This window comes from Homo sapiens, chromosome 15 (genome assembly GCF_000001405.40).
Source record: "Homo sapiens chromosome 15, GRCh38.p14 Primary Assembly".
In the NCBI taxonomy this organism is placed as follows: domain Eukaryota; kingdom Metazoa; phylum Chordata; class Mammalia; order Primates; family Hominidae; genus Homo; species Homo sapiens.
Genome location: NC_000015.10, coordinates 31138321 through 31165208, shown reverse-complemented (window position 1 = coordinate 31165208; position 26888 = coordinate 31138321). Strand labels below are relative to the sequence as shown.

The 26888-nt window shown below is 46.1% G+C and overlaps 1 protein-coding gene across 1 annotated transcript in view, besides 6 other annotated features; it reads left to right on the top strand.

Annotated features, from left to right (window-relative positions):
* The window catches only part of TRPM1 (transient receptor potential cation channel subfamily M member 1), a 160096-nt gene continuing 137256 nt past the window's right edge, over nucleotides 4049-26888 (top strand). The window contains exon 1 of the mRNA NM_001252020.2: nucleotides 4049-4303. Coding sequence (NP_001238949.1) covers nucleotides 4250-4303 — 54 coding nt within the window. The 5' untranslated portion in view covers nucleotides 4049-4249. The remainder of the gene's footprint in view (nucleotides 4304-26888) is intronic.
* Nucleotides 5620-6266: an enhancer, noted in NCBI's record as "H3K27ac-H3K4me1 hESC enhancer chr15:31451146-31451792 (GRCh37/hg19 assembly coordinates)". NCBI's record gives its function as "activates a minimal SCP1, AML or CMV promoter by ChIP-STARR-seq in naive H9 embryonic stem cells {active_cell/tissue: H9 hESC(naive)}" and the evidence as "EXISTENCE:reporter gene assay evidence [ECO:0000049][PMID:30033119]".
* Nucleotides 13432-14065: an enhancer, noted in NCBI's record as "NANOG-H3K27ac-H3K4me1 hESC enhancer chr15:31443347-31443980 (GRCh37/hg19 assembly coordinates)". NCBI's record gives its function as "activates a minimal SCP1, AML or CMV promoter by ChIP-STARR-seq in naive and primed H9 embryonic stem cells {active_cell/tissue: H9 hESC(naive and primed)}" and the evidence as "EXISTENCE:reporter gene assay evidence [ECO:0000049][PMID:30033119]".
* Nucleotides 13432-14999: a biological region, named in NCBI's record as "MED14-independent group 3 enhancer GRCh37_chr15:31442413-31443612".
* Nucleotides 13800-14999: an enhancer, noted in NCBI's record as "MED14-independent group 3 enhancer chr15:31442413-31443612 (GRCh37/hg19 assembly coordinates)". NCBI's record gives its function as "activates an origin of replication core promoter dependent on BRD2, BRD4, P300/CBP and CDK7 cofactors, and independent of MED14, by STARR-seq in HCT116 cells {active_cell/tissue: HCT116}" and the evidence as "EXISTENCE:reporter gene assay evidence [ECO:0000049][PMID:35650434]".
* Nucleotides 14066-14699: an enhancer, noted in NCBI's record as "NANOG-H3K27ac-H3K4me1 hESC enhancer chr15:31442713-31443346 (GRCh37/hg19 assembly coordinates)". NCBI's record gives its function as "activates a minimal SCP1, AML or CMV promoter by ChIP-STARR-seq in primed H9 embryonic stem cells {active_cell/tissue: H9 hESC(primed)}" and the evidence as "EXISTENCE:reporter gene assay evidence [ECO:0000049][PMID:30033119]".
* Nucleotides 16602-17235: an enhancer, noted in NCBI's record as "NANOG-H3K27ac-H3K4me1 hESC enhancer chr15:31440177-31440810 (GRCh37/hg19 assembly coordinates)". NCBI's record gives its function as "activates a minimal SCP1, AML or CMV promoter by ChIP-STARR-seq in naive H9 embryonic stem cells {active_cell/tissue: H9 hESC(naive)}" and the evidence as "EXISTENCE:reporter gene assay evidence [ECO:0000049][PMID:30033119]".

The window sequence follows — 26888 nt, the reverse complement described above, 5'->3', positions numbered from 1 at the left end:
TTTTTTTTTTTTTTTTTTTTTTTGAGATGGAGTTTCACTCTTGTTGCCGCCCAGGCTGGAGTGCAATGGCACAATCTTGACTCACCACAACCTCCGCCTCCCAGGTTCAAGCAATTCTCCTGCCTCAGCCTCCCGAGTAGCTGGGATTACAGGTATGTGCCACCACGCCCGGCTAATTTTGTATTTTTTAGTAGAGACGGGGTTTCTCCATGTTGGTTAGGCTGGTCTCAAACTCCTGACCTCAGGTGATCCGCCCACCTCAGCCTCCCAAAGTGCTGGGATTACAGGCGTAAGCCACTGCGCCTGGCCTCTTTTTCTTGTCTTACTATATTTCTGCATTGGTTAGAACCTCCAGGAAAATGTTGAATAAAACTATGGAGACAGCAGGCTTTATTCTGTCCTTGATCTTTATGAAACTGTTTCTAATATTTCACCAATTATCATGGATGCCTGCAGGATGCCTCTAGGAGGTATCTGCCATCAAGTTACAGAAGTTTCCTTGTATTCTTAGGTTGCTGAGAGTTTTTGTTTGTTTCTATTTTAATAAGGAATTGTTTCTAAATGTCAAATATTTTGGGGTTTTGTTTGTTTTTGGTTTAGACTTCTTTTTCTTGTGTGGTTTTTTTTTTTTTTTTTTTTTTTTTGGCTCTACTGAGATGGACCATATGGTTTTGGCAGCTATTGAGATGATCACAGGGCATTTCTTCATTAATCTGTTAATATGCTTAATTACATGAATGGATTTTCCAGTGTTGAGTCATCCTTGCGTTCCTGAGAATAAGGTATGCCTGTTGCCTGTGCTGGTCATGTGGTCTTGTTCTTTTAGAACTGCACTAGATTCAACTTGTTCCCATATTCTTTTTTTTTTTTTCTTTTTCAGATGGAGTCTCACTTTGTCACCCAGGTTGGAGGGCAGTTGCATGATCTCTGCTCACTGCAACCTCTGCCTCCCAAGTTTAAGCAATTCTCCTGCCTCAGCCTCTGGAGCAGCTGGGATTACAGGCTGGTCTCGAGCTCCTGACCTCAAGTGATCCCCCTGCCTTGGCCTCCCAAAGTGCTGGGATTTCAGGGGTGAGCCACTGTGCCCAGCCGTTACTGTATTCTTTCTAAGTTTTGTGTCTGTTTTCACCAGTGAACTGGTCTAAGGTGACCTCTCCTGATCTGGCTTTGGTGTTAGGATTGTACTAGCTTCATAAGACAAGTTTGGAGCATTTCCATACTTTTGCAATGCTCTGAAACTCAAAGAAATGATAGAACTGGTGAGCCCAACAGATCCAGGACAGGTGCCAGGAGGCCCAGAGATAGGAGGCACAGGTTAGCCAAGTAACGTTACACACACATGCCATGGCCAGCATCTCAGTACTGCTGAGGACAAGAGAACGCTGTGCTGCCCAAGGAGCATGGCAGGGGAGAAGGGCAAAGGATGCCACGGCAGGGAGGCGGGCAAAGGCAGCATCTTAGAGGCAGGTGAGGATCTGAGTCAGTCCTGAGCTCTGAGGGGCTTTGAGCAGGAACATTACCTGACCAGATCTGCATTTTTTAAAGTTACCCTTTTTTGCATAGGTGTAGACAGCTGTCTGGGAGACCACAGTACAGAGGTGGCTAGGACATGGAGTCCCAGAGCATGAAGGCTTCCTGTCTTGCTGATGGGGTAGCCATCACTGAGACAGGAAACCTAGAGGAAGACCAGGGCAAGAAGTGGACCAGAGAGTGGTGGGGAAGTGCTGCATTTGAGGCGGGTTCTTCGATGGGGAGCCAGCTTGGAAGCCCAGTACGAGGTGCAGAGAGCCCCGGATGGGTGGTCAGGGCAGGAGGGTGCCCATGGTAACGGAGCTGACAGGGAGGGGGAGGTCACCCAGGGTCCAGTGAGAGGAAAGGAGGGCTTGCACAGAGCCTCAAGGAATGTAACAATTCCAGTTAGACGCAAGATGTCAGACCACGCAGGGTGCTGAGGATTTGCCTGAGGACAAGGAGGCAAACTGGGACGGCCTGAGGATGAGGCATCGGCTGCATCCAATCCTCTGCGAGGCCTCAGAAAATTAGGACTGGAAAAAGCCATTATGTTTAGCAACACAGAAGGCGTGGCCCCTCCCCCAAGCCCACCCCATCCACAGCCTTCTCCATGTCACCTCAGGTGACCCCATCTTTCGGGCAGTCCCGGCCCAAAGCCTTGCAGCTTCCTGATGTCTGTCCTCCTCACACATCCCACATCTGACCCTCCTGCACATCCTCTTGACTCCACCCTCCAACACTCTCAAGAGTCAGACCTCCACCCATCACTCCTCTGGCCCCACCCTGTTCCAGGTTGTCAAGGTTCCCACTGCAGCCCTGGACCCGCTGGCTAGTGCACCTTAAGAACCACGGTGGTCCCTTCAAACTGCACATCAGATCATAATCAGAAACGAACCCCAAGGTGCTTAGAATGGCTCCCAGGTCCTGCACTATTGCCTCTGCAGCTGCCCTCATCCCTGCATCCCCTCTCCCAGCCGCCTGTGCCTTCTTGGTCTTCCTTGAATATGTCAGCCAGGCTCCAGAGTCAAGGCCTTTGGCTGCTGCCTCTGCCTGGAAATCCTCCTCCCACATCCCTGCCCAGTGGGCTCCTTCACCAGCCACCTGCTCCCAGTCTCTGTTCAAAAGCCATCTTCTCAGAGACCTTTCCTTTTTCTTTTTTTTTTTTTTTGAGACGGAGTCTCACTCTGTCACCCAGGCTGGAGTGCAGTGGCACGATCTCGGCTCACTGCAAGCTCCGCCTCCCGGGTTTACGCCATTCTCCTGCCTCAGCTTCCCGAGTAGCTGGGACTACAGGTGCCCGCCACCACGCCTGGCTAATTTTTTGTTTTTTAGTACAGACGGGGTTTCACCGTGTTAGCCAGGATGGTCCTCAGAGACCTTTCCTATTTAAAATTGCCACCGCCCCCAGCCCGGCCTTTCTCTCTGCTTTCTTTCCCTGCCTGGCTCTTACACCCTCTGGCATGCTATATAGTTTATTGCTCGAGGCATCTGCCTCCCCATGATAAGGTCAGTTCCAGGAAGGCAGGGACTCTCCCCTGCTGTTCCCAGATGTATCCCTAGCACTTGATGTATACAATATGTGGCCCATAGTACCAGCTCAAAATATATCAGTTGAATTCACTTCAGGGGTGTGAGAGATAGAGGGGAACAGAGGGCCGGCCCCGCACCATAAGAGATGTGTTGGTTGTAAGCCAGACCCCAAGAGGTGGAGGTCATGCCTCCACCCTCCAAACTTCCACAGCCGACAGGCCTCCCAGAGGAGGTGGTGGGTCCTGGCCTCACAGCTATGAGGGCTCCACAGCCTTCTATTATTTTATTTTCAGCTTGCTGGTCCTTAGATAAAAATCTATCTAAGACGATGGGAATACATGGCCTGTTCTCTCTGAGCTCCAGTCTGTTCCCTTGCATGTGGGAGGTGACATGCATGTGCCTGTAAGAGACAGAGGAGGGTCGGCAGCAAGGGTGGTACACTTCAGGCCAGGCTTGTGCTGCAAAGACCCATGACCCCATCTGCCTTTAAGAGGGGCAAGACAGGCACCCCTGAAATCAGAAATGACACAGAGAGCCCCACACACAGAGCAGCACAGAACAGACGGGCCACCGGCCACAGGATCTTCAGAAGAAGGCTTGCTGTGTCGCTGCCAGATTAACGGGGCGAAAATGCGCACTGGCAGCTCCAAGGAGAGAGCTGAGACCCACAGCCTGGGCCTGGATGCAAATTCTTCTCTGAGACTCAGGCGGTTGGCCAGGTGGGCACCGGGCCTCTGGGATCTGGATGCCACCCTCCAAGGGGCCTCAGATGCCAGCAGCAAGGGGCTGTCTGCCCTCGCAATGCGCCTTTCCAGACGCCCAAATCCTTCCCATTTGACCACCCTTTGCAGCCACCACTTTCTCAAAGTAGATTTACTTTCAATCTCCATTTGCTAAATCTCTTCCCTCTAAACCTTTTGGGGATGGAGGGATTAAGCCTGATTACAGATGTTGGGGGTGGTAGCAGGAGTCGGGCAGGAGGGGCCACCAAAAGCCAGCACATGCTCCTCCTAGGCTGAACCAGCCTCCGGCCGGCCTCGCCCCAGGATCTCGGCCCCCTCGCCCAGTGCGTGGGGCTGCCGCCGAGTGTGGGGCTGCCGCCGAGTGTGTGGCTCCGCTCCTGCCCACCCAGGGAGGGCAGCCCCTGTGCCACTGGCCTGGCCACCCGAGGGAGTCAGCAGGGTGGCTCACAGGCTCACTGAGAGAGATGAGCTCCTTCAAGCGGGGCTCGCTCAAGAGCTCCACATCAGGGTCGCAGAAGGTGAGTGAGCTTTGCCAGTGGCCTGCGGGCAGCTGGGCGGAAGGGCAGAGGGACACTGGTCTCCAGCTCTGTCATCTCAGAGTGCTGGCCCAGCGGGTCCTGTCCTCCCAAACTGTGCTGGGTGGGCATGGGGCATGGGGTGTTCAGAGCTCTCACGTCAGGGTCCCTTCTCAGAAGGTGCCCTATGTTTCCTGCCACGGTGTCCAACGCCTGTGGTCTCAGTTGCTCCCACCTTCGAGTGGCTGTGGCAAACCCGGGAGGCGTCTGAGTGGCACAAATCCTTTCACCATTCCAGAGTCAGCAGTTGCGGAGTTTTGCATCTCTTGCTTTCCCCACGAGGGTGGTGCCCCTTAGTTCTCTCTGCTGGACTCAAGCTCACCCTCTGTTCTGCATCAGATGTTTGTGTGGGCCATGGGGACCCAGGGATGACTCAGGCTTGGGCCTCGCCCTTAGGGGATGGGGTCTGGCAGAGGAAAGCAGGCAGCAGCATCTAACAGGAGGGAGGGCCAGAGGGGCCCTAAGTGAGAACCTGGGAGGGCAAGAGGCTCCCAGGACTAGGCACCAGCTGTGGGGAACGGCCTCTCCCAGGAACCCCAGACAGGACCTCCCACAGCACATGCTGATTTGAATCTTAGGTGTGCTTTTCCTAGGTGACTCTGAGCCAGCCTGGGAACTGAGCACCCAGGGCTGCCTTAAAGGACCACTTGAGCCCAAGGAGACTGGGCAGGCCACCACCTCACCCTAACTCCCTGACTGCCCCTCGCATGCAGTGGGAGGCAAGCCCAGACCACACCGGAAGCCTCTGGACACCACTTGCATGCCCTGAGGGCTCAGTGGGGATCTCTGCTTCTTCCAGGGGGCTGCCCATTGTGCACAGAAGGGTGGGGGGAGGCAGCAAGGGAGCTGGCAGAGCGGCAGTAGGTGCAGCCCTTGTGTGGGCTGGGGAGGATACAGCCCCCCAGCTGGCACTTACTGAGCACCCACGACATGCCCACCAGTACCCCAGAGCTGGGAACGGAGCCGCTGAAGCAGTGTGAGCCAGGTGACCACACTCAGAGAGGTTATTTATCTGGGCTAAAAACAGAGCCCTAGGCGGGAACTGCTTCCCATCCATACCCAGCTCACCAGGCTGCAGTCTCCCCGTCCATAAAATGGGGCAGAAGCAGATGTTGAACCAGGTGTTTGCAAGTCTCTGACATCTCATGAACCTGAAAATGCAAATAGAAAAAATAAAAGGCTCTTTAAAAAATAATAACAATAAAGAGTTAAAGCTCGCCTCCATTCCAAAATGGGAAAGATCCATCCTTGGGGCTCAGTGGGGGACAGGCGCATATATCTGCTTTTGTGCGCATGTGTGAGAGTCAGCATTATTTTTAGAGACAGCACATACCCATGTTCTTGTGTAAGTTCACATTCGCAAATGCACTGCTGCATTTGGCAGAAACAAGAGACATGCCACTGGCCGTGCAGCCCGGGCCAGGTGGCTCCACGTGACCTCCTCCTCCCCAGCACAAAGCTGGCCCACACTGTTCTTGCTGATAAGCTCTGAAAAGGAACAGGCTTTTGTTGTTCTTGAATTTGATGTCACCTGTTCACCTGTGCCCAGTGTACTGCTGTATGTTTGGTGCCTTGAAATTGCAATGGGTAGGGTCTGGGAGCAGGGAATTCAGCAAAAGGGGAGGAGGGGAGAATCACTTCGATTTTGGTCCAGACTGAAAAACAGCACCTCCTTTATACCCGCACACGCACAGCCATTCCTACAGGACCTCACACTGCATTACTTCAAGCCCAAGGACGAAGGTGACCTCCTCCCCCTATCTGAGGTGATCCCATGCTGTGGTGGGGTCAAAGGTGTTTGAACCAGAGCGACTCCATTTGAGTGAGGGCTGGGGAAATGGGGCTGGGACTTGCTGGGCTGCATTCTCAGAAAGTTAGGCATTCCTCGTCTCTAGATGTTTACAGTTATGGCAACAAATTAATAATGTTTACTAAACAGACCCAGACTTGGGAGTGTCCAGATATCTGGATATCTGGAGAACAAAGGGATTCCTAATTTTGCTTTAAAGATGATAATATTGATTCCTGCAAAATATAATAATTAAGAAAATAAATCCTTTATCACAAACCCTTGTAGCAGAACACATCTCTCCGTATATATGAGTATCACACCTAGGGTGGACGTGTTCCTCCTTTTACTTTTGGGAACGTCCTACTCTGTCTATGGAGTAGCTGTTCTGCTGTTCTTTCACTACTTTACTCTTTTTTTTTTTTTTTTTTTTGAGATGGAGTCTCACTCTGTCGCCCAGGCTGGAGTGCAGTGGCGCGATCTCAGTTCACTGCAACCTCCACCTCCCGGGTTCAAGCGATTCTCCTGCCTCAGCCTCCCAAGTAGTTGGGACTACAGGCACCTGCCACCACACCCGGATAATTTTTTGTATTTTTAGTAGAGACAGCATTTCACTGTGTTAGCCAGGATGGTCTCAATCTCCTGACCTCGTGATCTGCCCGCTCCGGCCTCCTAAAGTGCTGGGATTACAGGCGTGAGCCACCGAGCCCAGCCTACTTTACTCTCTTAATAAACTTGCTTTTACTTTGCACTGTGGACTCACCCTGAAATCTTTCTTGCACGAGATCCAAGCACCCTTTCTTGGGGTCTGGATCTGGACCCCTGTCCTGTAACAGTGGTGCATGCCAAACTCCTACAAAAACTTGTAGGAGTTAAGAACCTTGATGGCACAGTTTGCCCTAAGGCCTATTTATAAAAGCCCTCACTTAAGAAGTAAAATTATTGGTGGAAGAATGAAAGACAATACCTCTGGCTTTAAGGAAGCCATTCTTAAAGAAGTACTAGGAAACAGCCGTGAAATCACATGAGCATACAGTGGGCTGTTTTCATTCTATCTCGTTGCACACTAGGCCCTTCATTGACGCAGCAGCTCAGTGTCGGTTCCCGGTTTCCTAATCGAAAGCAGCACCCCTCTGCACCGTGTTTGTTGAAACACACCAGCTGCCCTGTGGGAAAAACAAACACAAACTGCACTATGTACGAGTCTTCCAGGGTCATCTCGCCTGGCCCTCTATTTGTACAAGGCAGATCTGACCCTTTGTCCTTGGCTGGCCAGCTCTTCCCAGCTCTGAAGCTCTTCCCTTGGTCTTAGACCAACTGGGGTGCACAGCGTGGAATCCTGAGGCAGTGAGCAAATCCCTGGGGACACTGGGGACCCTTGAGCTCCATCCCTCAGCAGCCTGCTGCTTGGAGGCCCCACTGGCCAAAACAGTCCCTCTTCCAGGAAAGACCTCCAAGTACTCATGCAGGAGAAGAAAAATGAGATTCTGCCTTGCACTTTTATCCCTGTCTACATTTTTTTTGTTGTTGCTAAAAGACACATAAAGTCAAGAGTCAAAGTTCAAGATCCTAAATACGATTAATAATAGGATAGCCCAGCAATTGTACCCATCTGCCTTAGACAAATTCTAGCACATGTGTACAAGGAAATGTGCAAAAATGCTCACATTCACATTCATGCTGTAGAAGACCAGAAACAACAAACAGTTCATTCAAAACAGTATAGGTAAGCTTTTGTTTATTCACATAATGAAATACTACACAGCACTTAAAACAAATGAACCAAGCCACCTGTATCAACATGGATAAACCTCAGAACATACTGCTGGATTAAAAAATAAGCCACTAGCCAGGCGTGGTGGCTCACACTTGTAATCCCAGCACTTTGGGAGGCCAAAGCGGGCAGATTGCTTGAGTCCAGGAGTTTGAGACGAGTCTGGGCAACATGGTGAAGCCCCATCTCTATGAAAAATACAAAAAATTAACCAGGTGTGGTGGAGTGCACCTGTAGTCCCAGGTATTAGGAGGCTGAGGTGGGAGGACTACTTGAGCCCAAGGAGGTCAAGGATGCAGCGAGCTGCACTCTAGCCTGGGCAACAGAGTGAGACCCTATCTCAAAAAAAAAAAAATAAATGTAAGTACACTATTTATAGAAAAATCTAAAACAAGGGAAATCCAAAATAAATACATACATCTCTTCAAAGTGGAGATGGTTAGCTGTATCTATAATGTTGACAAAAATAGTCAAACTCTGTGAAACATTTAAAGACATTTATTCTGAGCCAAATATGAATGATCATGGCCCAAGGCACAGTCTCAAGAGGTCCCGAGAACATGCGCCCAGGCACTGGGTTAGAGCTTGGCTTTATACATTATAGGGAGACGTAAAAGATCAGTCAATACATGTGAGGTATACACTGGTTCGGCCTGGAAATGGGGACATATTGTGGGGAGGGTGGCCCACAGGTCACATAGGTGGATACAAAGGTTTTCTGGTTGGCAATTGGTTGAAAGAGTTATTATCAAAAACCTGGAATCAATAGAAAGAAGTGTCTGGGTTAAGATAAGGAGTTGTGAAGTTCAAAGTTCTTATTATGTAGATGATGTCTCTTAGGTGGCCACCCTTAGAGACAATAGATGGCAAATGTTTCCTGTTCAGGTCTTTAAAAGGTGCTAGACTCTCAGCTAATCTCTTCAGCAGTGGGAGGGCCTAGAAGGGGAAAGCTCTATTATGTTAATAGAACTCTTTACAGCTGCAAATTTTCCCCCACAAAAGATGGCGGGCCATTTCAAAATATGGCAAAGAAACATATTCTGGGGTAAAATATTTTGATTTCCTTTTTTTTTTTTTTTTTTTTTTTTTTGACAGAGGTCTCGCTCTGTCACCCAGCCTGGAGTGCAGTGGTACAATCTCGACTCACTACAACCTCCGCCTCCCAGGTTCAACTGATTCTTGTGCCTCAGCCTCCAGAGTAGCTGGGATTACAGGTGCCCACCACCATGCCTGGCTAATTTTTGTATTTTTAGTAGAGACGGGGTTTCACCATGTTGGCCAGGCTGGTCTTCAACTCCTGATCTCAAGTGATCCACCTGCCTTGGCCTCCCAAAGCGCTGGGATTACAGGTGTGAGCCACTGCACCTGGCCGATTTCCTTCTTTATCTGTCATGTGATGTTATGCCATAGTCAGGTTGGAAAGTAAGTCACATTATATACAGTTAAATGAAACCCAACTGATGAGATTTTATGGTCTGTAAGGCATGACTCCCCAGTCCCTTAGATAGGAATTTGGGCAAGAGAGAAAAAAGGTCAGAGTTTAGTCCTCAGTAATGTTCATTCTCTCTCTCTCTCCCCCTCCCTTTCTCCCTTCTTCCTTCCCTCCTTTTAAGAGAGAAAAATATATATAAGTACACATGTAAAGTCACAACATCTGTAAAACAGAATTGTGGGTCTTCACTTGTCTGTTATATCAGTCTTGTCTATGATTTTGAAATTTAATTTTGAATTAAATGTTTTCACAATTTAAACATGTTTTGATACTTCGCAAGCGAGCCACAGGAAGAGTGAGGGTGAAGCTGAGGAGCACAGCCTCAACGGTTTGTGCCTGCCTAAGGCACAAACAGGTGATAGAGTGGAGCTAAGAAGAACTTCTGCAAACTCCCCTTGGTTATCTGAGCTTCCTTGTCTAACCATGTGTGGTTGGAGCTGCAGGCAGGAGCCTCCTTCACCAAGCTCCCCCACTGCAGTCTCCCACTCTTCAGAGCAACTGAGTAGCAGGCACGCCCCCGGCTCAGGGGACAGCAGCTCTCACCTCTCCCTGGGCCCGAAGCACTAGGACCACGCTTGGCTCCCTTTGAGGCTACAGCACCTCCATTTCCCAGAGAGTGTTGCTGGAACCCAGGGAAGTTTCATGTACGCTCACATAGGCTGTGTTTGGAATCTGCTTGGATGCAGAATTCCACATGGAAATTTGTAACCACCCAAGGGGTTCACCTTGCCTGCTGCTTAAACAGAGCCAATTCATGGAGACAGGGGAATTGCAAAGAGAAAGAATAATTCACACGGATTATTACTCAAATCAATCTCCCTGAGCATTCGGGGAGCAGAGCTTTTATGGATAACTTGGTGGGTGGGGGGAAGCCAGTGAGCCAGGAGTACTGATTGGTCAAGGATGAAATCACAGGGAGTCAGACCTGTCATCCTGTTTTCAGTCAGTTCCTGGGTGGGGGTCACAAGATCAGATGAGCCAGTGTATTGATCTGGGTGGTACCAGCAGATCCATCAAGTGCAGGTTCTGCAAAATATCTCAAGCACTGCTCTTAGGAGCAGTTTAGGGAGGGTCAGAATCTTGTAGCCTCCAGCTGCCTGACTCCTAAACCGTAATTTCTAATCTTGTGGCTAATGTTAGTCCTACAAAGGCAGTCTAGTCCCCCGGCAAGAAGGAGGTCGGCTTTGGGAAAGGGCTGTTATAGTCTTTGTTTAAACTATAAATTATAAACTAAGTTTATCCGAAAGTTAGTTCAGCCTGCGCCCAGGAATGATCAAGGACAGCTTAGAGGTTAGAAGCAAGATGGAGTTGATTAAGTTAGATCTCTTTCACTGTCTTAGTCATAATTTTGCAAAGGCAGTTTCAGATTCAAAACAATTCCTGTCTCACAGAAGGAGGAGACCCAGAAAACCTCCTCTGTTCCCCAGTCCTCATCAGAGGCCTTGAATGTAACACACCCCATGCCACCCTCACCCATCTCTCTATGGCTTCACATCATACAAAGAATAAAACCCAAAATCTGTCTGTGACAAAGGGCTCATTGCTGTCTTGCTAAATTTTTCAATCCATTGAAGACCTGTACTTTCATACAAGGCAATAAAAATGAATTGCCAAAAAATGAAATTTTAAAATGACATGCAAAATCCAAGCCCTAAGTTTTCTTTAATTGTTAAATTCCGTAGACAGACATTGATTCTTTCAAACTGCTAAAATTAGGTCTAAATGTAGGCTGTCGTTTCTGAACCCTCTGGGTATGGCCAGTAGCCAACAGTTTGCAGCCCATGCTTGGAACACACTTTGAGTACTGGGGTCCAAGAGACTCCACACATCCCATTCAATCCTCTCCCCAGTCCTGGGAAGCAGGACTCTGGTCCTCTCTCCAGCTGAGAAAGAATCTCAACGGTGGAAGCCTTGTCCAAGGGACCTTGTGAACCAAAAAGTATCTGAGACAAGTCTCAATCAGTTTGAGACTTGTCGATGTTTTCAATAACATGCCCGTGACACAGGCTCAGGAGCTCCTGACAACATGTGGCTCACACTGTTGTTGGCTCAGCCTGGAAAAGCAGAAAATCTTGAAGGGCGGGGAGGGGAGGCTTCCAGATGATAAGTGGATTCACAGATTTTCTGACTGGCGATTGGTTGAAAGAGTTCATCTAAAGACCTGGAATCTGGCCAGACACGGTGGCTCACACCTGTAGTCCCAGAACTTTGGGAGGCTGAGGTGGGTGGATTGCCTGAGGTTAGGATTTCGAGACAGCCTGGCCAACATGGTGAAACCCTGTCTCTACTAAAAATGCAAAAATTAGCTAGGCATGGTGGCAGGTTCCTGTAATCCCCACTACTCAAGAGGGTGAGACAAGAGAATTGCTTGAACCTGGGAGGCGGAGGTTGCAGTGAGCCAAGATCACACCACTGTACTACAGCCTAGGCGGCAAAGTGAGACTCCATCTAAAAAATAAAGACCTGAAATCCATAGAAAGGAGTGTCTGGGTTAAAATAAGAGTTGGGAGACCAAGGTTCTTATTATGCAGATGAAGCCTCCAGGTGGACAGCTTCAGAGAGAATAGATTGTAAATGTTTCTTATCAGACATAAAAAGGTGCCAGACTCTTAGTTAATTCTTTCCTGTATCAGGGAAAAGACCTGGAAAGGGAAAGGGATTCTCTACAGAATGTAGATTTTCCCCACAACAGACAGCTGTAAAGGACCATTCCAAAATATGTCAAAGAAATATATTTTAGGGTAAAATACTTTGAGTTCTTTCAGGGCCTGCTATCTGTCATGATGCTATACTAGAGTCAGCCTGGAATTTAGTGTCTTATTGCTACAAAGGCCTTGAGATCTCTGTTTTAGGCTGGGTGCAGTGGCTCATGCCTGTAATCCCAACACTTTAGGAGGCTGAGGCAAGAGGATCACTTGAGCCTAGGAGTTCAAGACCAGCCTGGGCAACATAGTGAGACCCTGTCTCTACAAGAAAATTTTAAAATTACCAGATGTGGTGGTGTGTGCCTGTGGTCCCAGCTACTTGGGAGGCTGAGGTGGGAGGATCACTTAATCTTGGTAGGTCAAGGCTGCAGCGAGCCATGATCGCACCACAACACTGTAGTCTGGGTAACAGAGCCAGACCCTGTCTCACACACACGTAGTCTCTGTTTTAATGTCAATGCTGGTCAGTTGTGCCTAAATTCCAAAAGAAGGAGGGTATGCTGAGGCATGTCCAAATCCCCTGCTTCCCGTCATGGCCTGAACTAGTTTTTCAGGTTAACTTTGGAATGTCCTTGGCTGAAAGGAGGGGTCCATTCAGATGGTTGGGGGTGCTTAGAATTTTGTTTTTAGTTCACAGCCTCAGTCAGGGGTCCACTTTGTCCAAGGCCCTGCAGTGGGCCACTTCCACAGGAGCATCTTCCAGGGCAGCAGTGCCCAGGGCTGCTGAAGACACCTTTTGAACCCAGTCCTGGGAGAACTCCTGAAGCGGAGACATGCCTGATTCACCAGCCTCCAAGCTGGGCAGGTGGTCCCACATCTGTGCCCATAGAGGGTTGGGGGGCACTTCAGACCCAGGCACTAATCCATGCCCATGCCTGAGCAGAGTTCTGCAGGCAACTGCCCTTGAGGGATGGGGCCCAGGGCCTGAGTGATGGGTTCAAGGACCCTTGAGTTGGGGTAGGGTGTGCTATAGAGGACCCCAAGCTTGAGAGCAGGCCAGCTGGCCAGTAAGTACTCCATTCAGCCATGTGACAGCAGGTCTTCCTAGGGACAACATGTCCAGCCCCCTCTCTAGAGCTTGCTGGAGTCACCGCCACCTACCAGGGAGGTCCAAGTCCAGTACCTCGTTCTCTTGGATTCCTTGTTCTTCTGTATCCTCTACTTTTAGCGGGATGGCAAAAAGGGCACTTGCCTGGTTCCTGCACACTGAGGGGCAAAGGCCTCAGCCAAGGCCAGGAGGTGGGAGGACAGGGAATGGGCCAGGACCAGGGTCATTTGCCAAATGGACATTGATCCCTGGAGAGCCAGAGAAGACAGTGTGAGGGAGATGTGAGGTCAGAGGTGAGGGAGACAGTCCCAGCAGGGCTGGAGGAGGATGTGGGACAGGGAGGGAACCAGTGATGTCTAAGAAGGTGTACGGAGTTTATGGTACACTGGGTCCAGCCAGGGCCAAGAAGCACCACTGGGCTGGATGGGGCTGGCAGCTGCCCCACACCAAACCCTGGCCAGAGCACCCCATGCCCACTGAATTGCCAGCACAGCCTGGAGACCTTCTGTAGGGTAGCTGCTCAGCAAGGGGGCCTGTGCCAAGGAGCTGTGTGGCCCTGGGCAGGCCACCCTCCAGGCTATGAGAGACAAGGGGATACCCTTGGCAGGAGTGGGTGCTGGGCAGAAGGCAGCCCTGTGAACTCCAGGGAGGACTCTGGCCAGGAGGGTATAAAACACTTGGCCGCTTTGTTTAGTTGGCCTGAGAGTGAGGGAGAGGGGTCTTAGACTTGAGTAAAAATCTCCGACCAGTTGGGAGTGACGGTAAACAACTGAGGTATTACCCTGCTTCAACCCTCACCAGAGTGTTAGAGTCTTGCCAATGCACCACAATGTCGCAGTCTCTCATTGTGAGGTATCGCCTGGAGTTTTTTGTCTCAGGATCAACAGGATTAAGGAGCCTGACATAAAGGGTGAGGTTGGAGGGAAAGTTTAACAAGCAAAAGAAGAAAGCTCTCAGCCACAGAGAGGGGGCCGAATGGGTTGCTGTTTTTGCAGTTGAATGCAAACGCTTTTACAAGAAACCAATGTGGGCTGGGCATCTTATTTGCATAGGGTGTGAATTTCGGGTAGCTTCACCCTGTCCTCCTAATGCGCATGTGGACTCTTGGCTTGAGATACTCCATATTGCTTTGTTCCCCTTACTGCGCATGTGTCAGGGGATGAAATTTTCCATGGCAGGCATGTCTGGGCAAGTCACCTGTGTAGACTTTCTTACCTGTGTAGCTGTGGGCATGTCTTAGGCAACTCCCCTGTGCAAGTTCCCATATCTGTGCCTGCTGGCTGTTCTTTTGTTCGAAAGTATTCAACCGCCAAGTGCAGTGGCTCATGCCTATAATCCCAGCACTTTGGGAGGCTGAGGCGGGTGGATCACGAGGTCAGGAGTTTGAGACCAGCCCGGCCAACATGGTGAAACCCCATCTCTGCTAAAAATACAAAAATTTTCTGGGCGTGGTGCGCATGCCTATAATCCCACCTACTTGGGAGGCTGAAGCCGAAGAATCACTTGAATCCGGGAGGCAGAGATTGCAGTGAGCTGAGATCGCACTACTGCACGCCAGCCTGGGTGACAGAGCAAGACTCCATCTCAAAAAAAAAAAAAAAAAAAAAGGAAAAGAAAAAATTCAACTGAGGAGCCACCCTAACTGCCTGCCTGACCAGTTTCTTCTTTTCTCCTCTTAAGGGGTCCCTCTATAGCCTAACACCAAATGCACCTGGGAACGCCAGCCTGAGGGCATGCCCAGCTCCAAACCAAAGGGATCACAGAGTCCTCCGTTAGAGATCCACAATGCACATCAGCAAACTAAAGGCTCTGATAAGTCCTGCAGGAAAGAAACCTCCTTTTAACCCAGAGTCACCTATAGAAGAAACCCTTTCCATGCAAAATACATCACCATTTCAGGAGCCCAGGCTAGGCTGAGGACACTTAAGAACACTTAGGGCTGCGGGCAACACAAGATTAGGAGTTAGCTCCTAAGGATGAAATGGAGAATGGGCTTTACCCCTTACTTCCTGCACAGCTAGAGGATGGGCTCCTCCTTCTGCCGCCCAGGCCTGGGGATGCAGCAAGCACAGGATATTTAAGAAAGAAAGACAGAAAAGAAAAGAATTTGCTGCCCAAAGTCACTACCAAATCGTCAATGCTCGCCAACAGAATATCTTCAAGTTTCAGAATTGAAGAAATTGGCAGAATGTCAAGATGGAAGAGGGATTTTAAAGATGCACGGCCTGGCGCCGTGGCTCACGCCTGTAATCCCAGCACTTTGGGAGGCCAAGGCGGGCGGATCACAAGGTCAGGAGATCGAGACCATCCTGGCTAACACGGTGAAACCCCGTCTCTACTAAAAATACAAAAAATTAGCCAGGCGCGGTGGCGGGTGCTTGTAGTCCCAGCTACTCGGGAGGCTGAGGCAGGAGAATGGCGTGAACCCGGGAGGCGGAGCTTGCAGTGAGCCAAGATCGCGCCACTGCAGTCCAGCCTGGGCGAAAGACTCCGTCTCAAAAAAAAAAAAAAAAAGAGAGAGAGAGATGCACATGACGAGCTATAGCAGCCATGCACCCCAAGGACCCAGGCAGCTCCCAGTTTATCCTCAAAGGCTCAGGGGGCCAGCCTTTGGTTCCTATGCATGCTGCATTAAACAGAGCCCTTTGTAGTTGCTGAAATACTTGAAAAACTTGGTTTCTTAAGCACGGCCAGAGAACACACACACCCGCCCCCCTCAGCTAAGCCAGGATGTTGTTTTCTTGCAGCAGTAGCTACCGGTGGCTCCTCAGAGACCAGGGTAAACTCTCAGGGGTCCTGAAAGCCACCTTCTCCTGCCTGCCCCCACCCTAAAGCCAATAGAGTCTCCCTCTGGCCATTCACGGATTTTGCTTCTTGCCTGGCCTCCCCAGCCCTCAGTTCCCTTCCACGTAGATCTGGGACATTGGCTATTAGGCTACTTGAGTGTTTTCCACTTTAGAAAGGTTGGTCACGGCATCTCACATGAACCAGCCACTCTCAGACCTGCGAGGTCACTCTTCCACTCTTCCACTGCAGCTTGGAGGGACACGGGTGGGTTGCACTCTTGCCGTGTGTGCTGTGCAGGGCATCTGCAGGTTGCCCAGGACTGCGGGGAGGGGAGGAGGAGACCTGGTGCCCACCCTGGCTGCCTGGCTCCCAGCATGCCTAGGGAACCATCAGACCACCCAGCTGTCTAACAGACGGCAGAACTGAGGCTACCCTGGGGTGGTGTCTGTGTGCTGGCAAAAATCAGCCAGCCACCTCCTTCTCCCCACAGGTTTCTGTGCAGATTACACACATTTGCTAGGGGGTAAGGTGACTAGCATCCCTTACAGCACCAAGGCCAGGAGAGTTCTTATCTGCACAGATGACAGGCTGCTGAAATAGACAGGTGCATGCCACTCACTAGCTGCTTTTCTGTCTCTTCATTCTTCGTGGTGAGGCATGGGAGTTTTTGATGAAGAGTTTACCTTTCCTCCTTTCACGGAACAAAGCCACTCCTCCACTGAGGGAGGCCTTGAAGCTCCATTGAAATTCACATCATCATAGAGGAGAATTCTTTGCTAGTGCATAATGTTGACAGTTGGACTTTGATTTACATAATCAGGATGGAGCGTTCTCTCCTACACAACGCAGGGTGCAGCTGCGCCCGAGCCAGGCCACCAGAAGGCTCCCAGCCCCCAACCCCCTTTGGAGCTGGAGGGTGTGAGCGCAACCTCATTGCACACCCCCAGCTCATTAACACATTTCCCAAGATCAAGGAGCCGGGTCCTGCTGTCCTCGCACCTACCATTCAGATCCATTTCATTTGAGAATCTTTGACTCAGAAAAGTTGTCTCTTGGTTTTGTCCCTTTGTTAGACCCTTGGGGTCAGCCTGGACTGCCCCATTCCCCACAAGGACACATTGTTATGGAAATCTTGGGGAAGGCTGAGAACACAGTAGACAAACTGCACAATCTCTGTGCCTCCCTGTTGTCCCTCCTTGACCTCTCTCTTCGCAGCCTCTGCTGACATTTTTTGTTTTGTTTTTTTGTTTGTTTTGTTTTGTATTTTAATTGGTCCCAGCAATGCCACAGGCACACCAGCCCCAGGCGAGATTTCAGTACTCAGCAGATCAGAAGCCGTAAACCGAAGCCACCATGATTGGCAGGCTGTTCAGCAGCCGCCCACCTCCCTGGGGACCTGGACCCCTGGCCCCCTTTAAAGCAGCTCCATCCCCAGGGTTATCTCAGCTACTAAGAAAAGTTATAGGTTTTTTTCCACATCAGTCTATTTGTGTCCTTGGAAATGCTCCCCCAAATGAACACAGGTAAATGTCTAGAGAAGACGCAAGTTACCCCGAGTGGTACCATCCAGCTGCACTTTGCCATACACAGGCCTCGCTCGCACCTCGATTCCCCGCCTGGGGACTGCAGGAGCAGCTAATCTGAGAGCAATCGGGAGTGATGAACAAGAGCCACTGGGAATCCTTAGTCCAAACCCCAGTTCAGATGTGTAGCCACAGGACAGCTGCTCCACCTCTCTGGGCCTGAGTTTCCATATCTGTGAAGTGTGATGACGTTGCACTTGCCTCTTCACTAGAAAATTCTTTGCTTTCTACATATTTCATGCCATTAAAGAAATACCCTTGTAAAAAGTCACAGATTTAATTTAATTTTAGAACCCCGACTGAAAAGTGAGCACAATCTTATTATCAGCTAGTAAAATGTTTATGGAAATTCAGAACGGTTCTTTGTTATTTTTCTCTGCAAGCCCACTGAGGTGCTTTAATAAAGATAAACGTGTGCGCATAGCACAGTTGTGTGCCAGGCAGTGTTCTTGGAGCTGGGGATCCAGTGATGACTGTGAAAAGACCAAATGACAACGAATCTAGTTTAAAGGCCTCAACTGGCTTTATTTGCAATTCTAGAATCAGGCAATACTTTATTCCATAAAAAAAGATAAGTTAATTCCAATGAGCTGAGCAAAGGAGATTGGCTTCATAGGCAGAAAAAGGGCTGAAGAAAACAGAAACAAGGAACAAACATTGAATTGGTCATTTTTTTTTTTTTTGAGACAGAATTTCGCTTTTGTTACCCAGCTGGAGTGCAATAACATGATCTCAGCTCACTGCAACCTCTGCCTCCTGGGTTCAAGCGATTCTCCTGCCTCAGTCTCCCAAGTAGCTGGGATTACAGGCATGTGCTACCACGCCCAGCTAATTTTTTGTATTTTTAGTAGAGATGGGGTTTCTGCATGTTGGTCAGGCTGGTCTCGAACTCCTGACCTCAGGTGATTAGCCTGCCTCTGCCTCCCAAAGTGCTGGGAATACAGGCGTGAGCCACCGCACCCGGCCTTGAATTGGTCATTTCAAAGTTACTTTCCTTGTAATGCAGGGACCGGGAGACTAAAAAATAGAAAACTCATGGATTGGTTAATATCAGGTTATTTCAAGTTAAGGATTAAAGCAAGGGGAACTTCATTATCATGCTGACTGAAGACTGAAATTGGCGTGTTTGGTAAATTAGGCTGTTATCTCTCTTTCCTGATTTCCCAGAAGGCCAGGTAACAACTTAGTTTCCATTTGGTGATGTGGAACTTTAACATGGGTGACTCCATTTTGATTTCTAGTCTGGTCTGTTGGGGCCTAGAGCAGGAACTTAGTCCAAGAGCAATGGCCTCTTTTAATTTTTATTTAATAATTCCCCCCTTTTGTCAGGCTGTCACCTAGGTGAGAGAGTGACCAGAACTATTAGCACTCCTCTCAGTTTCTGTGTTTCCAGTCTCAGCGTGTCACTCACAGGTTATGGTATCCTCATGATAATGCATTTCTTTGAGTTTTTGTCATTCCAGCTGAAAAGGGATCATTTGACATTTGGTGGATGGCTGCGTGCAAACATTTAAAACTTTTTTGAGAGGATACAGTGCACCAAGGAGACTACTATTGTGACGATAAGGAGTTTAATACTGAGTATGGAGTATGCTCCTTAGCCAGGGTCCTCATAAACCAAGTGTGTCCTACCTGTGGCCCAGGACAGCTTTGAATGAGGCCCACATTCAAAGCCTGGGCCAAATCAAAATCGTAAACTTTCTTAAAACATTATGAGATGTTTTTTGCGTTTTTGTTTTTGTTTTTTTTTTGTATCTGCTATCGTTAGCATTAGTGTATTTTACATGTGGTGCAAGACAATTCTTCTTCTTCCAATGTGGCCCAGGTAAGCCAAAAGACTAGACAACCCTATAACCAAACCAACTAAAATCAAATAGATCAAAAAATGAGCCTGTGAGTCCTCTACACATTTTGAGTGGCTGTGTATTGATTTTTTGCAGCCGTGTCTCTACGCTACCTGATGTATTCATCTATGTACAACGAGAAATGTCAGCAACTGCACAGCTTCCTCCCTGTTCCGTTGTTACATAGCAATTCTAACATCTAGCTTCCCAGGAGTAGGTTAAATTAAAAAAGAGAGTGCTACCTCTGGAAAAGAGACCACAAATACAATTTGAAAAAACAGTTGTGTTACGGATGTTGCTGAAGTTACCCACTAGGTGGACTAGAGGATTTGTTAGGTCCTGTAACTATTTAGGTTTGATATGACAGGTTCAACATTCCATCCAGTTACCCACAGAAGATACGGATTGTGAAATTCTAACTGCAGCATTATCCTGCCAAGTGAAAGAGGCAGGCATAAGTAAAAAAAAATTAAAAGGGGTAAGAGTCATTATGACATGGAGTCTTCTTCTGCCATCTTGGAGAAGGCTGTCCACAGCTTTAAGTCAGCATCTTGTTGTCCTGGCTTCCAGTTTGAACGTCTCTGACTGTGGCATTGCACGTTCTAGGGAACTCTGTGTGGCTCACACATCAAGGGCATGAGACGTTCCCTTGAGATTTATATCAAGTTGTCCAGCTTCACCTTATAGGACTTCAGAAACAGAGCAGTTTTTGGTTTTAGTCGGAGAGTTGTAAGATATTGGAGAAAATTAGAAGAAGTTAGAATCTAGTCCAGTCTACAGACAGATAATAAAAACTCAAAAACAAGGCCGGGGCTGGGTGCGGTGGCTCACGCCTGTAATCTCAGCACTTTGGGAGGCTGAGGCAGGCAGATTACCTGAGGTCGGGAGCTCGAGATCAGCCTGACCAACATGAAGAAACCCCATCTCTCCTAAAAATACAAAAATTAGCCCGGTGTGGTGGAAGTCACCTGTAATCCCAGCTCCTCGGGAGGCTGAGGCAGGAGAATTGCTTGAACCCAGGAGGCGGAGGTTGCAGTGAGCCGAGATCATGCCACTGCACTCCAGCCTGGGCAACAAGAGCGAAACTATGTCTCAAAAAAAAAAAAAAAAAAAATCTCAAAAACAATGAAAAGGGCCACAGTTTTATAATAGGTGTATTATAGCTTTCTTCTAAAATGTGATTTTTGTCTTATAGTCACCCCCATTTATACCAAAGATCAACAGAGTAAAACTAATTTGTTTGCAAAATAAATTTAGTCTCATTGACCTTATTTACATAATTAATTATATAATTGCAGCAAGAGTAACCACATAGGCTCCTTTTAAATTTGCATTGTTGCATATTTTGACAAAGAATCTCAGATTGGACTTTTATTTGTTCATTTATTTTGAGACAGAGTCTTGCTGTCTCACCCATGCTGAAGTACAATGGTGCGGTCATGGCTCATTGCAGCCTTGACCTCCCCAGCTCAAGTGATCCTCCCACCTTAGCCTCCCAAATAACTGGGACTACAGGCATGTGCCACCACACTGGCTAATTTTTGTATTTTTTTTGTAGAGACGGGTTTTGCCATGTTGCCCAGGCTGGTCTTGAACTGGGTTCAAGTGATTGGCTCATCTCGGCCTCCCAGAGTGCTGGGATTACAGGTGTGAACCACTGTACCTGGCCTCAGATGGGACTTTGAAAAACCTGGATACTAGGAAGCAGAACCAAGGCAGACATCAGACTTTGCCTGCAGTGTCCAATATATTGAGATTCCTGCACCTGCGATGACTTTTTACTCACTGTAAGGCTCGGAACTCTTGAAGCCTAACATTCCATACGTATTCTCAAATATGACATTCCAGTCAAAGCCTTGGTAGTATAACCAATGTTTCTAATTGTATCCTGTTATAAAGAGAGCAAATTATTATTGAAGTTATGCAAATAACCATATTACCATAAAAATAAGAATACTCACAAATAGCTTCTGAATTTAGGAAGTATCAGGTAAGAAGGAAAAGCAAACGTTCTAATTTTTGTTTACAAAAGTATGCTTCACAAAATTGCTGTAAGCTATAGATAGCTTAAAAGGGAAAAAAAAAAAACTTACTTTCCTTAAAACTGGAAGACAGGCTGGGCACAATGACTCATGCCTGTAATCCCAGCATTTTGGGAGGCCGAGGTGGGTGGATCACTTGAGGTCAGGAGTACAAGACCAGCCTGGCCAAGATGGTGAAACCCCATCTCTACTAAAAATACAAAAATTAGCCAGGTTTGGTGACACGTCTGCAGTCCTAGCTACTCAGGAGGCGGAGGTAGGAGAATCGCTTGGAGGCAGAGGTTACAGTGAGCCAAGATAGCACCACTGCACTCCAGCACCACTCTACTCCAGCGTGGGCAGCAGAGGGAGACTTTGTCTCAAAAAAACAAAACAAAACAAAACACAACAAAACAAAACTGGAAAACAAAACATTAAATGAACCAACAATGCTTCAAATTAAAAAGCTGTAAAAACTCGTAATTCTTCTTCATCAGTTCATTCAGCTTCATGTAATTAATTCTTGCTCTGTTTGATCTCAGCAGTTTCACAAACCCATCAGTTTCTTCAGTTGAACTTTAGACTTTCTTACTCAGTCCAATAGTATCTCAAAGTTATCGGAAGCCTATACTTGTTAGACTTCTTTCCATTCTTTCTATAAACCTCCTTGAAGACACAATACTTTAGAATTATAGTTGCCTGCAAAAAGCTTTCAGAAAGGCATCAGAATAAAGCAATTAACTGCAGACAACCAGACTTAAGGTGGCAATGGTTAAAAGCCTTTGAGAGTCCATTATAGAAAGGATGCAATTGACAGGAAAATTTGGTTATTTCTGCAAAGTACAACATTTTAACATAATAACTGACATTATGACTTGATAACACATCAGATTTCTAGAAATCTCATACAATTGTGGCACACCTTAGTAATGTATACAAATATAACTCAAAGAAAATTTAACACCATTTCTTATTTGACAATGTTTTCCACATAATTTAACATATCAAATAAGTCTAATTGGTTTAATATTTCTCTTTTGAACTTCCAGGGGCCCTTCTGGAGTGTCCAAAAGTTAGTTTGAGGTCAAAAATTAATTTTGAATTTGATTTTGGGAAGTTTGTCAAAAATAAAAGTTCAAAAGACTTGATCAAAAATAAGATTACAAGTCACTGTGAAATAATAGTCATTCATTTAGCCAGAGTGATAATTAAAAGACTTCAAAAGAAAATACAGGAAGTAACATAATTGTCAAAAACCTCAACTCTTTAATAGAGATGAGTGTCTGTTTTCCTAAGTAATCAATGACCTAATAAAGAAAACATGAAACATAGGAAATTATTTTGATTAAACAGAATCATTGTTTTCTAGGCCAATTACCTACAAGATCTCACAATAATTTACTAAGAGCAGATGAATACTTTAAAACAAAAACCTTGTTGTTTTAACACAATAAATCAAATTTCAGTTTTGCATCAGTGTACTTTTTTGATATTAAACATTAATTTTTAGAAAAACCTATACAAAGGTAAGGTTTGTTATGTAAACTTCAAGCCAATGTCTTCCCCATTGTAAAAGTTCCTAATGATTTAGATGCAGAGAGGGAGACACCCTTAAAAATAGAATTTCTTTTACAAAGAATTTCAAAAAAAGACAGCTAAGTGCCAAGAAATTGTGTTTTGGAAATCATTTAGTTGATACATACTCTTTTCTACTTTTTAAAAATTTTCATTTATTTATTGATTTGTAGATCAAGATGAAGTCCCACTAAATTGCCTGGGCTGGTCTTGAACCCCTGGGCTCAAGAGATCCTCCTGCCTCAGACTCCCAGAGTGCTGGGATTACAAGTGTGAGCCACTCTACCCAGTCTGGTCTTTTCAACTTAACCTGTTTCTTAATTAGACAACTGGCTTCAGGGCACTGGCCTTGAATAAATAGGGCAAAGAAGGTATTTTCTATTCCTGGATTCATTAATAGAACTCAATTTGATATCCCTCACAACCAATTTTAACCAACTTGATCACACACAAAATTTCTTTCATAAGATTTTACTTCCACAAATCTTCTACAACTTGCTTAAACCTTGTTGTCCTAAATTTCTTTCTTCATATTACAATAACCAATCATTCTACCTAAAGACAAAAATATACTTTTTTCCCCTGTCATTATGACCACACAAAATTCTCTCTCATACAAAAAAAATTACTTTCTCTTTTCAACATTTTTCTATCAAAAATACACACTTATATTTATAGATTTTTTTGCACCACTTTCTCCTACTTACTGGTTTCTGTCTGCCTTGCTTCTATTTTCTTCCTTAGTCCATATTTTGAGACATCTTCTAAATAACCTCCAAGTTAGATGAAATTAGTCTTTTCTTTAACAAAGGTATATCCTCATGTCCTTCTACAATTTTCTCACCAAAAACACATCTTACTTTTTTAATACACTTTGTGTACAGAATTACCTATATTAATTAAAAATTTTAATATGTAATAATCTTAATTTCTAGTGAAAGCCTAGGAAATAAATTTTGAACTGTCACATACTAACATTTTATAAACATGCATGTTATAATTTATAAAAATATGTGATTCCTCATAGAACAATTTTTTATGTTTACTAACAGACCCAAACATATTTAGCTTCACCATACCATATAAAAACAAGATTAGAGGCCAGGTATGGTGGCTCATGCCTGTAATCCCAGCACTTTGGGAGGCTGAGGGGGGCGGATCGCTTGAGGCTAGGAGTTCCAGGCTAGCCCGGCCAACATGGTGAAACCCCGTCTCTACTAAAAATACAAAAAAAAAAAAAAATTAGCTGGATGCAGTGGTACGCACCTGTTATCCAAGCTACTTGGCAAGCTGAGGCAGGAGAATCACTTGAACCCAGGAGTTGGAGGTTGCAGTGAGCTGAGATGGCACCACCACACTCCAGCCTGGGCAACAGAGCAAGACTCTGTCTCAAAAAACAAACAAACAAACAAACAAAGATTATAAAATGTCTTATTCTGTTTAGTGTTGCTATAAAGGAATATATGAGGCTGAGTAATTTATAAAGAAAAGAGGTTTGTTTGGTGCACAGTTCTGCAGACTGTATGAAAAGCATAATGCCAGCATCTGCTTCTGGTGAGGGCTTCAGCCTGCTTCCATTCATGGAGGAAGGTAAAGGTTATCCAGTATGTGCAGATCACATGGAAGAGAAGAAGCAAGAAGGATGGAGAAGGTACCAGACTCTTTCTAACAACCAACTCGTGAGGGAACTCTCACAGGAGCTAATTAAGCAAGAACTCACTCATTACCACTGGGGCGGGGGAAAGGCATTCATGAGGGGTCCCACCCCAGACCCAAACACCTCCCATTAGGCCCCACTTCCAACACTGATAATCACATTTCTTTTCTTTTCTATTATTTAATTTTTTTTTTTTAGACGGATTCTCTCTCTGTCGCCCAGGCTGCAGTGCAGTGGCACGATCTCGGCTCACTGCAAGCTCCGCCTCCTGGGTTCAAGTGATTCTCATGCCTCAGCCTCCCAAGTAGCTGGGTCTACAGGCTCCTGCCACCATGCCCGGCTAATTTTTTTTTTTTTTTTTGTATTTTTAGTAGAGACAGAGTTTCACCATATTGGTCAGGCTGGTCTCAAACTCCTGTCCTCAGGTGATCCACCCACCACGGCCTCCCAGAGTGCTAGGATTACAGGCATGAGCCACCGTGCCCAGCCAAGAATCAAATTTCAACATGAGGTTTAGAGGGCCAAATATCCAAACTGTAGCACAAAGCATATATACTTTAAACTTATGTTCAGCAATTAATGTTTCAGTGTTTTAACTTAGAAATGCCTTAAACGTTTCGTGAATATCTATTAATCATAACATGACTTTAAGATTAAGTTACTGAAAAAGATTTTAAAATTATGAGAATGCTATTTATATATTTGTATCCCATTTACATCCACATAATTTACTCATTCTTAACAATTATGCTTACATTGCTGGTTACACAAAGTTAGCCATCATCTCAATGATTTTCCTGCTAACCATTTTACAGCACGCAAGTGATAGACAGTTGCCACCTAAGCAAGAATGCTAAAGTTCAATACATTAGTATTTTGCTGATCAGAAGACACAGCTGTTTTTATTAAACCAACAATATTAAACTAGTCTTACTTACCAAAGATTTACCCAAGTCACACGAACAAAAAGGCATTGAGGTTAGTTTCTTTTTTCTGATAAAATATTTAAGTGCTAACTTTTTCTTTAAGCCAATTCATTATGACTCTTTCTTATATTTTGGTAGAGACACATCACATATACATAACACATATAGACATACAGACACACAGACAGAGGCAGATCTTATAGTTTTAATAAGATTATTCATTTGTAGGTTTTCAAATAGTTTCTCTCCCCTGTTTAGACTATTAATGTCCTGATTACCTGTTCTATTGGCCTAAACAGTTGTTATCTAGGCAACACCAAATTTGTACATCCAAAGGCAGGACTCTTAAAAAGGTAGAAAAGAGTGGAAAGAGGTAGAAAATTTACATGTCAAAGGCACAGAACCTACATCTCTAATTTCTAAAAATCTGAGTACTGTGCCTTCTGATATGCCTGCCTTTTTCATGGGACAAGAGTTATGGCCCCAGAAGCTGCAAATATTCTCAAAAGTGGCAAAGTCTTACTAAAGATAATTCAGAATGACAATGGCTGTTATATGGAATGTTCCAGGTGAACACAAAACTGGTTATGTAAGAAGTGCACTTGAGTCTCAAGTGCCATTTGCCATTATTTGCCAAGACAAAAAAGGTCATAGGTAAAGGCCTAGTTCAGGCAAAATGGCCAGCCAAAGCACCTTATACAAAGGTAAGTCATTTTTTTTTTAAATGTAAACTTCAAGCCAATTTATTCCCCATTGTAAAAGTTCCTAATTATTTACATATAGAAAGGGAAGCGCCCTTAAAAATAGATTTTCTTCATAGATATAAATTTCTTTTACAAAGAATTTTTTTTAAAAGTCAGCTAAGTGCCAAGAAGTTGTGTTTTGGAAATCATTTAGTTGATACATAGTCTTTTCTTTTTTAAATTTTCATTTATTTATTTATTTAGTTGTAAATAGAGATGAGGTCCCACTATGTCACCCAGGCTGCTCTTGAACTTCTGGGCTCAAGTGATCCTCCTGCCTCGGACTCCCAAAGTGCTGGGATTACAGGTGTGAGCCACTACACTCAGCCTGGTCTTTTCAACTCAAAAAACCTGTTTGTTAATTAGACAACTGACTTCGCGACACAGCCCTTGAATAAATAGGGCAAAGAAGGCATTTTCTATTCCTGGGCTCATTCCTAGAACTCAATTTGATATCCCTCACAATTGAATTTTTCTTTTTTATTCCAAGAGAGAGGTTGTCCCGTAAGAGTGGGGTTTAAAGTAGAAATAGGGGCTCTGGTGTCTACTCAGACTGGATAACTGGAGGAAGCTTATCAGAGCTT